The sequence below is a fragment of the Homo sapiens genome, chromosome 2, assembly GCF_000001405.40.
Source record: "Homo sapiens chromosome 2, GRCh38.p14 Primary Assembly".
NCBI lineage: Eukaryota > Metazoa > Chordata > Mammalia > Primates > Hominidae > Homo > Homo sapiens.
This window is the reverse complement of record NC_000002.12, coordinates 174,540,429-174,551,476: the sequence shown is the minus strand read 5'-3', so window position 1 is coordinate 174,551,476 and position 11,048 is coordinate 174,540,429. Positions and strand designations below refer to the sequence as shown.

General features: G+C 45.1%; 2 long non-coding RNA genes across 2 annotated transcripts in view; one reads left to right on the top strand and one right to left on the bottom strand.

Moving 5' to 3' along the window:
* Positions 1–1,397: 1,397 nt before the first annotated feature.
* Positions 1,398–11,048, bottom strand: part of LOC124906096 (uncharacterized) — a 26,663-nt gene continuing 17,012 nt past the window's right edge. The window contains exons 2-4 of the long non-coding RNA XR_007087308.1: positions 4,939–5,090; positions 4,229–4,373; positions 1,398–4,108 (exon numbers count right to left, since the gene is read on the bottom strand). This is a non-coding gene — a long non-coding RNA (uncharacterized LOC124906096). The remainder of the gene's footprint in view (positions 4,109–4,228; positions 4,374–4,938; positions 5,091–11,048) is intronic.
* Positions 3,454–11,048, top strand: part of LOC124906097 (uncharacterized) — a 26,801-nt gene continuing 19,206 nt past the window's right edge. Inside the window, exon 1 of the long non-coding RNA XR_007087309.1 lies at positions 3,454–6,694. This is a non-coding gene — a long non-coding RNA (uncharacterized LOC124906097). The remainder of the gene's footprint in view (positions 6,695–11,048) is intronic.

The following is an 11,048-nucleotide window of genomic DNA, read 5'->3' as shown; positions in this document are numbered from 1 at the left end:
GCATTTCCAACAGGTTTTTGAGTAATGCTTAATGTTGCTGGTTCTCAGACCACACTTGGCATAGCTCTGGTGCACAATCACAATGAAACAGTTTTCTTTGTATTAAATTAATATGTATGTATAGCATCTAACCTAAATACATTGTCCATAATTTGCATTATAGTTGAAGAAACTTAGCAGAGAAAAGGAGAAAGGAGAAAACCAGTTAGTATGGTATTTTACCAAGAACATAATTATGACTTATAATTACCTAATACTCTCTCTTTGACCATTAATCATATCTATGGATCTTTTTTGTTGTTGTTTTTCCCTTGCCCACACATCATGGAGGTTGGAGTAGAATCCAAATGTTAATAAATGTTAATTATGGATTTTTAAAAATCAAACCAAAACAGCAAAAATCATGAAAAAAGTAATTCATGGAAGCTGACAAGCTTTCACCTTAATCATCTCAAGGTTAAATAATGATCGGAATTCTTTTAGTTGAAGCACTTACGTTACATCTTGATGTTTGACTATCATATAAATATAACTGTACTATTAGGCTCTATTTTTCATTGCAGATGAAATTGATGCATCTTTGTGTGGTGCGGTTTGACATAGTAAAATTGTTACTCTCTAGGCAGGATATTCATAAAAATGTAATTATCGTCATCAGAACAGTCTTTAAGCTCCTGAGCAGAGACAGCCAGATTCATGATTGCCAGTTCTCAATCACTTCCCGTATAACAAAGAAACTTCTTAAAGCAGCCTTGGAAATCATTAATGTCTTACAGAGGGAATCTATTCTAATCAAACAACAAAAGGTGCTGGGAGATGGTGATAAGTACTCAAGTTGGCCTCCTCTGCCTGACTTTGGACAGGATTGGACAGAGATTTAACATATTTCATTCGGTTTACTCACCAACAAGTTTTACTTTGTTTTCTTGTGTGTGTTTTTAATTTTTATTCTTTTTTTTTTTGAGACAGAGTCTTGCTCTGTCGCCCAGGCTGGAGTGCAGTGGTGCAATCTCAGCTCACTGCAAACTCCGCCTCCCAGGTTCAAGCAATTCTTTGCCTCAGCCTCCCGAGTAGCTGGGATTACAGGTGCCCGTCACCATGCCTGGCTAATTTTTGTATTTTTGTATTTTTAGTAGAGAAGGTGTTTCACAATCTTGGCCAGGCTGGTCTTGAACGCCTGACCTCAGGTGATCCACCCGCCTCAGCATCCCAAAGTGCTAGGATTACAAGTGTGAGCCACCACACCCAGCCGATTTTTATTCTTAAACAATTTGTATCACCAACAGGTTTTAATAGCAGTGCTGTTTGCTGGAAGAGCGCTTTGAGATCATAGCAAGACCACCTTGAGTGTAAATCAGAAACGGTTACTGACTGTAATACATTTATCATTGTTCTTCTTTTCTTTTTTTTTGAACCAAAACCAAGAGGCAGCAGCCTGGTGCCCCCTGGGTTCTCCTCTCATTTTACTTCTTGAGTTCATAAACTGCTGGAGGAACAGCCCTGCAGTTGCTTCCCAGGCACCGTGCCACCTGGACAAAACATAGCGAGTGCAGTCAGTAGGATTCAGCCCCTGGTTAGTTGGAGTGTCCAGTGTTCTTAATGTCCCAAATGCTGGTTTAGTAGTATGCTTGATAAACTTAGGGATACCAGAAGCAATCACATTTCAGTGGGTTAGAGAAATAAAAGGGAAAACATGAAATCAACAGATTTTTAGATTTGAAGAAGAAAACAATATATTCAAAGGAGAAAGCAACCTTGTTTTTGATTCCCGCTGTCCTTTTCAGATTACTCAATAGGGGAAAAGTTCTTCTCTTGCTCCAGAATGAAAATCTCCATAATCTTACAACTCGTTTTAATCACTCTTAAGTAATAAAAAGTCCTATAGTCACTCTAAGTCTCCAACAGTCTCAACTGAGAAGTTAGAATATCTAGTTTTGTGTCATAATCAATTTTTTTTTTTTTAGATGAAGTCTCGCTCCGTCGCCCAGGCTGGAGTGCAGTGGCGCTATCTCGGCTCACTGCAACCTCCGCGTCCCGGGTTCAAGCAATTCTCCTGCCTCAGCCTCCCGAGTAGCTGGGACTACAGGCGCCTGCCACCACGCCCGGCTAATTGTTTGTATTTTTAGTAGAGACAGGGTTTCACCAAGTTGGCCAGGATGGTCTCAATCTCCTGACCTCTTGATCCGCCCACTTCGGCCTCCCAAAGTGCTGGGATTACAGGGGTGAGCCACAGCTCCTGGCCCATAATCAATTCTTAAAACCAGATTTCAAGTTGAAGCTTCTCCCTTCACCTGTGTGGGGCCTTCTGCAGCCAGGAAGCCAGGTAAAGAGGGGCGGGAGACATCTTTTCTTGTCGTCCACCTACTGAAAGGTGACAGCGTGCTGGCAGTCCTCACAGCCCTGGCTCGCTCTCCGCACCTCCTCTGCCTGGGCTCCCACTTTGGCGGCACTTGAGGAGCCCTTCAGCCCACCGCTGCACTGTGGGAGCCCCTTTCTGGGCTGGCCAAGGCCGGAGCCGGCTCCCTAAGCTTGCGGGGAGGTGAGGAGGGAGAGGCAGGGGCAGGAACCGGGGCTGCGCACTGTGCTTGTGGGCCAGGGCCAGTGCCAGTTCCGGGTGGGTGTGGGCTTGGCGGGCCCGGCACTCGGAGCGGCTGCGGCCCCGGGCAGTGAGGGGCTTAGCATCTGGGCCAGCAGCTGCTGTGGTCAATTTCTCCCCGGGCCTTAGCTGCCTTCCCGCCGGGCAGGGCTGGGGACCTGCAGCCCGCCATGCCTGAGCCTCCCCCACCGGCCTCCATGGGCTCCTGCGCGGCCAGAGCCTCTCCGACGAGCGCCGCCCACTGCTCTACGGTGCCCAGTCCCATCGACCACCCAAGGGCTGAGGAGTGCAGGCGCACAGCGTGGGACTGGCAGGCAGCTCCACCTGTGGCCTGGGTGCATGATCCACTGGGTGAAGCCAGCTGGGCTCCTGAGTGTGGTGGGGACTTGGAGAACGTTTATGTCTAGCTAAGGGATTGTAAATACACCAATCAGCACTCTGTATCTAGCTCAAGGTTTGTAAACACACCAATCAGCACCCTCTGTCTAGCTCACGGTTTGTGAATGCACCAATCGACACTGTATCTAGCTACTCTGGTGGGGACTTGGAGAACCCTTATGTCTAGCTAAGGGATTGTAAATACACCAATCGGCACTCTGTATCTAGCTCAAGGTTTGTAGACACACCAATCAGCACCCTCTGTCTAGCTCAGGGTTCGTGAATGCACCAATCAACATTCTGTATCTAGCTACTCTGGTGGGGAGGTGGAGAACCTTTGTGTCTAGCTCAGGGATTGTAAACGCACCAATCAGCACCCTGTCAAAACAGACCACTCGGCTCTCTGTAAAATGGACCAATCAGCAGGATGTCAGTGGGGCCAGATAAGACAATAAAAGCAGGCTGCCCAAGCCAGCGGTGGCAACCTGTTGGGGTCCCCTTGCACACTGTGGAAGCCTTATTCTTCCTCTCTTTGCAATAAATCTTGCTGCTGCTCACTCTTTAGGTCCACACTGCCTTTATGAGCTGTAACATTCACCGTGAAGGTCTGCAGCTTCACTCTTAAAGCCAGCGAGACCACGAACCCACCGGGAGAAACGAACAACTCCAGACGCACCGCCTTAAGAGCTGTAACACTCACCAGGAAGGTCTGCAGCTTCACTCCTGAAGCCAGCGAGACTATGAAGCCACCGGAAGGAACGAACAACTCCAGAAACACCACCTTAAGAGCTGTAACGCTCACTGCGAAGGTCTGCAGCTTCACTCCTGAGCCAGCGAGACTATGAAGCCACCGGAAGGAACGAACAACTCCAGAAACACCACCTTAAGAGCTGTAACGCTCACTGCGAAGGTCTGCAGCTTCACTCCTGAGCCAGCGAGACCACGAACCCACCAGAAGGAAGAAACTCCGAACATCAGAAGGAACAAATTCCGGACACGCCACTTTTAAGAATTGTAACACTCACCGTGAGGGTCCGCGGCTTCATTCTTGAAGTCAGTGCGACCAAGAACCCACCAATTGCAGACACATTACTAGCTCTCTGCCGCCATTTTACTACCATGATTTGTTCCAGGCTCAAAGCAGGAAGAGGGAGGAGGAGGAGGAGGGAGAAAGGGAGAAAAGCTCTTAATTAATTGATCGTCTCAGAGGGCCCATTCTTTCTTCCTGGGCTAGGTTGTGGTATTTAAAGTTACCTCTCTCCCTTGTTTGATGCTCTCATGGGGTCTTCAAAGACACCGCCGCCTCCATGGCTGGGGTTGTTTGTTGAGGTTCCCTTGATCAGCTCTGCCTCAAAACTCTGCTTCTCCCGCTCAAGCCTGAGAGTCCCTCTAGGTGGCCCTGTTGGACAAGAGCTAAGCCTTCTCTCTGTCTCTCCCTTTCTCTCTCTTTCTCTCTCAACCAACCCAGGCCCATCTCTTTCTCTAGGAGGGAGCCAAACACCAGTCACCAGCACGGGGCAGGGATGGGGCAAAGCTCAGAAAGAAGCCCCGCCGAAGGAGGGTGGAGGGCTGGGAGGGGCTTTCAGCCGGTCCTGACTTTTTGTTATGGAGAATGGCTTTTCCCTCTTCTGGGTGGCTCGGTCACCCTGGAGAGTCCTGCACCAGCTCTAACATGCCAGGCTTTTTCCTTGGCCGCCAAGAGAGCTGGGCCCGCCCTCCCTTCTGAGCTCTCCTCCAGCTCCTTTCTGATCCCTGCCCGTGTGGTCCTGCCCTCAGGCCCCGTTCAGAAGGTCAGCCTAAACCAGGACCAGAGGGCAACTCCTGCCCTCCAGCTTGGCACCTCAGTCATGAAGGTGGCATTTGAGTCCATCTGCTACCTTTTATGTTTTCAATTTGTGCAGGACCTGGAGGGGGAAGAGAGGTGTTATTTACTGAGCCCCCTCAGAACTTCAACATCGTCTTACCTCGAAAGTAGGCAGAGAATGAGTGGTGTCATGTTGCCACTTTTGGAATTTCTTTCCCCTTTGAAGATTTCTTATTTTTTTATGGCACCTGTCTTTGGCTTGTCATATATATTTTACCTTGGTGTCTTGGTGAGAGCTTCTTATGTAATATTCTGAAATGTGTCATATGGGAAATACAGCTTTTAGAGTTTTCTTGAGAAGTGGTTGATTATAGCAACTACATGAGGACATATATTTAACAGTGAAATGAAGATACTTTATTTCAGGGGAAAAATGACTTTTAAGAGGCTCTAATTTTTTTTCTTGGCTTTGCACAGACAAAATCACCACATTTTGCTCAACCCTAATTTTGTCATTTATAAAATGAAACGTTTAGCCTAAATAATCTCTCAGGTCTCTTTCCAACTCGTACCATGAATCTGAGAGACCTGGAAAGGAAGTGGGACAACATTTCTGTTGTGAAGAAGGCAAGGCTGGTGATGTGGGCGTGAAGGTTAAAGATGCTGGCCCCTCATGACATTGGCGAACGTGGCCCTTCTTCCACCTGCTCAGCCAGAAACGCTACTGAGTGCAGACGTTTGTATACTAAGAGGTATTTGGGTGCATACGATTTAATCCTTAGCCTGATGAGCTTATAAGTGTGAAGAGAAGCAAGACTGTTCACAAATTGCTAAAACAAAATATGATGCTACATTTACCCAACAAACCTAAGATTCTGTGTACAAAACATTGCAGTAGTATCACTGGAATTGTGTGTGGGCTGCTGTGAGTTCAGCGTCCTCTCAGAGCACCGTGGTTCCAAGTGGACGGACCTTAAAGGGTTCCATAATCAGGACAGGTTGAAAGAATAGTGAATGCCACACAAATGCCCCCACACCCTTGACCCTGTGCCACCAAAGGCAAAACCAAAAGACATTTCAATTGGGAAAATCGTGATGCTTGTCTCTTATTTTCTTTCTTTTATTATTATTAAGACACGATTATCATTCAGGATTCATGCTGTTTACAGTTTGACTACTTCATAGAAAAATGTGTCTATAAAACACCTGGTAGTTGTAAAAAGGCTTGGGTAGGGCCCAGAAAGCCAGATACATGCATGCTATTTATTCAGCTGCCGGGAGCCATTCCCTGTCTCCATACACCCAAGGATTGTCTATCCTCTCCTAAATTTTATTTCTAATATTCTTGCTACATAGTCAGGTTAAAAAAATGAAACACAAAAAAATCAGGAAAATCAAAGCACTGCCTCCCTGAAAAATTATGCTCAAATACAAACATTCTTCTTGGCATTTCAGGCATGTTTTGACGCTGTGGACCAGGAAGGTGGTTGCAAATGCATCGATCTGGTGTGCCACACACATTAGATCTACGTGAAAGTTATCTGTAAAAGCGAGTCTACAAGCATCCCCTCAGCACCTCTGGTGTATCTGACTCACGGGGCTAAGTACCATAGAAGATACCCAAGATTCTGACATATTCTGTGCCCTGGTCACACAAGCCACAGTGTCAGAGAGAACAGTAAGCCCACTGCCTGCCCCACCACTGGTGACAGCAAGCCTGCCCCCAGGGAGTTTTGAAGTTGCTCTTTGCTCTTATCTAATCTCAAAAGCTGAACCCTAACCCTGCCTTCCACCCTCCAGTGACTTTTCCAAGACAAGTAATGTTCACCTGCTTGAATGCATCACTTCATGCATCTTTAAAGGCTTTGAACTTTATTGTGATAATGGACGTTTAAATCACTTGGAATACTGATTAGGTAGGTAGCTTTTCAAAGGGAGCTAGGCTCCTGCCATACTTTGTCTAATTTTAATTGACGAAATGGAATTTCAGGCATGATCCCTGAAGAGAGGGCATTTCTACTGTAGACACATGGGGGAATTTTGCTTCTGGCAGAAAGAGAAGGGCCACAATCTAAAGTGATATCCAAAACAATGAAGTGAGTGGGGAAAACATCCAAGTGGGTAGAGAAGTTGGGAGGCGTTGTTCTATGGTGACAGTGATCATACTTTCCTAATCAGACACCAGGGCAAATGGGCTGACCCATGGTCTGATCATAGGACAGATTATTTGAAATCTGGGGTGTTTGATCACCATCTTCATAGTGAATGAAGCCAGCAAGCGCCAGCAGCTGTTCAGAGTGAAAGCCCTTAACAATGAGTCTCTGTGAGTTGAGGGACCCAGCGTAGTGGGTGGGAAATCTGCTGAGGTCACTTATGAGCCATAGCTTCCTCACACAACACAAAGAAGGGTTGTTACCAGGGGCTTCCTGGAACCGGTTGCTGTCACCACCTTGTCTGCAAGGAGAAAGGTGCAATCTACTCACCAGTAAAACAATGATGTTTTGCTTCCATACAACACAATGTGGGAATGCAAAATATAAGAAGCAGGAGCAAGAACAGGGCAGATCATCAGCTATCCTCTGCTTTCTCAAGCTCTATGGCTCCCTCTTAAATAGATTTTGAACATCATACTTTTTTTCTTTTTCTTTCTTTTTTTTTTTTTTTTGAGACAGGGTCTCGCTCTGTTGTCCAAGCTAGAGTGCAGTGGCACCATCACAGCACACTGCAGCCTTGACCTCCCAGACTCAGGCAATCCTCCCACTTCAGCCTCCCAAGTCCCTAGGACTACAGGTGCACGCCACCACACTCGGTGAATTTTTGTATTTGTTGTAGAGATAGGGTCTTGCTATGTTGCCCAGGCTGGTCTTGACCTCCTAGACTCAAGCCATCCTCCAGCCTCGGCCTCCCAAAGTGCTAGGATTACAGGTGTAAGCCACTGCACCCAGCCCATACTTTTTTTCTTAAATCTTCATCTCTCTGCTTGCTAATCTTGTACATTCAATTTGAAACAGGGGAGCTGTTTTGTTGCAAAGGAGGAGATTCAGAAACTCCAATTCTCCTCCTTACTTTAATAAGAATGTTATGTCTAGCATATCGTAATAGGAGAAAAGTCTTCCTTTATTGCCAACACTCAAAGTCAATTCTCAGTTATGTGCTTTGAGAATAATCCTTGGAAAATATTCTAATTCCACCTCCTCTCACCAACATAGAAGTTTCTAAGCCTCCATCTCCACTTTTAAGTTGCTGTGTGCTTTTTCAACTTATATCCTACCAAAAGCTGAGTTTATTTAATATATGACATCATAATACGTTACTTTTGATGATTCAATGCTTTGTGCAATCTCAATCATAGTTTTAGCTCTATTAGGGTCATCAAGGAAGAGTTCAGTTTTATGGAAAACTCAAGGTCAGTTTCCATTGGCTTCTTCTCTCCATCAAAGCTTTAAATATATAGTAAACAGAAACATAGAATAGATTTATTTGTATTTAATCACTGTGTCTGCTTGGTTGTTTGCAGCTGCAAGTAATCAACTAAAGTAGATTAAATTCATAATCCCCTAGAATAAGAAGTGTGGAGGTAGGGCATTTGCAGGTTGGCTCTGCTTGCTAAGCTTGTACATTCAGTCTGAAACTCGGGAACTGTTTTGTTGCAAGAGAGAAAATTCACAAATTCCAATTCTCCTATTTAATAATTCAGTGACTCAGTGTCTTACTGAGGACCTAGACTCTTTCCACATTTCAACCCATCATCCTGGGCACATCGGTTTTAATCCTAAAGCTTGCCTCTATGGTCAGAAGAGGGCCACTGCAGCTCTAATAACTTCCTAATACATCACCTGAAGGCCAAAGGACAAGAGTGTCCTCATTATGATGAGGAGAAAGAGCTCCCCAGAAAACACCCAGGCTTCAAATAGTGAGTGGCTGATCAGCCCCTATAGTGGGAGGAGGCCCTACCAGCACTTAAAACAGGACACAGCCAAAAATAGCTGCTGTAAGTGGGAACTTAGAAAACTCTATGTACATACACTGAAGGTTAATGAGCATTCTGTTTATTTCCCATGGAGACTGTATCTGTGAAATGAATTTAGAACCAAGTAACCATTTTCTTTTTCTTTACTTTTTTTTTTTTTTTGAGATGGAGTTTCACTCTTGTTGCCTAGGCTGGAGTGCAGTGGCGCAATCTCAGCTCACTGCAACCTCCACCTCCCAGGTTCAAGTGATTCTCCTGCTTTAGCCTCCAGAGTAGCTGGGATTACAGGCATGCGCCACCACACCTGGCTACTTTTTGTATTTTTAGTTGAGACAGGGTTTCACCATACTGACCAGGCTGGTCTCAAACTCCTGACCTCTGGTGATCCACCCGCCTTGGCCTCCCAAAGTGCTGGGATTACAGGCATGAGCCACCACACCCGGCCTCAAGTAAATCATTTTCTAATCAGTTGAAACAGTACAAAGGAGAGAGTTGGTGTGAGGAGGGGGTCTGAAGGGGTGTGTAACTTGATGGTTGGGTTGAGGGGTGATCAAAAATGAAGAAAGAAAATATTCTAGACAGTGATAATTAATTGCTGCTAACATCACAAAAAAAGAGATAAGCAAAATGCCTTCCTACAGAAGTATACAATGCCACCTATAAAGTGTTCTTGCCAAAAACACAAATCAAATCCGATTAAACCTCTAGATCTAACACCCAACCTACAGGAAGTACAGGGAAGAAAGCAACTTATTAAACACAACCATGGGGTTGTAGTCAGCAAAATCCAGAACAAATGACCTGGCTTAGTGAATAACAGAAAAGGAGGCTGGGTGCGGTGGCTCATGCCTATAATCCCAGCACTTTGGGAGGCTGAGGTGGGCAGATCACGAGGTCAGGAGTTCGAGACCAGCCTGACCAACATGGTGAAACCCTGTCTCTACTAAAAATACAAACATCAGCCAGGCATGGTGGCACGCGCCTGTAATCACAGCTACTCAGGAGAGTGAGGCAGGTTAATCGCTTGAACCCGGGAGGCGGAGGTTGCAGTGAGCTGAGACTGTGCCACTGCATTCCAGCCTGGGCGACAGAGCAAGACTCTGTCTCAAAAAAAAAGGAGAGGGAGCATCTTAGATTAAAATGTACTTAAGAGAAGGAGCATTTATAGATTAAAATGATTAATGTTTGGACCCTGTTTGGATCCTGATTCAAACACAGTAATTGTAAAATGACACCTATAAAATGATTGAGGAAATTTAAACCTGACTGGATATTTGATGATATTAAGGACTTATTGTCAATATTTTTAGAAAGGATAAAGGTATTGTGGTTATGTCTTCTAAAAGAGTTAGTATTTTTTAGAGGCACATGCTGACATATTTATAGCAGAAATATGACATCTGAGATTTACCTCAAATGTCTCCAAAAAGTCCAGTAGAAGTAAGGAAGTGAGGGTAGGAAATGCCTGGCTGTGAATAATAGTTGGGAAGCTGGGTGATGTGTACCTGGGCGTTCCTTATACAATTCTGTTTTTATTTTGAAATAACAATTTTTATACATTTGGTTTTTTTGTTTTTGTTTTGTTTTAGAGAAAGGGTCTCACTCTGTCACCCAGGTCAGAGTGCAGTGACGCAATCATGGATCACTGCAGCCGCGAATTCCTGGGCTTGTGTGATCCTCCTGCCTCAGCCTTCTGAGTAGCTGGGACTACAGGAACATGCCACAATACTTGGCTAATTTCTAAAGTTTTTGTAGAGACAGGGTCTCACTGTGTTACCAAGGCTGGTCTCGAACTCCTGGACTCAAACAATCCTCCTGCCTTGGCCTCCCAAAGTATATTTCATTTTTTTACACAAGAGATGAGAAAAGAATAAAAATAAGAAAAGAGGGAAAGTCAGGTAAACAATCCTGTGTGACTCAGTCACCAGTTTGGGCCAATGGACTTCAGTTTGGGATTTCATGGCCCAGGGCAGAAACTGACAGTGATGTGCACCTCAGGCTCCTGGGAACAGTCCATCTGCTTCCTCCAGGTCACCCAGTCAAGGATGTCTCAAGGGAGTACTTACAGCAGCAGGCTGGAAGTGAGAACTTCTGATATCACCATCATTATTATAAGAAAATGCAGAAAAGTCTTCCTGACTATCCTATGCTAAGTACCCCCAAGTAAACTTAACCCCATTGAAATAAGTGTTATAGGTTATAGAATGTTAATTCTATCCAATGAGGTCCTAAGCATAACTTTTTTTTTTTTTTTTTTTTTTTTTTGGTGAGACGGAGATTTACTCTTGTTGCCCAGGCTG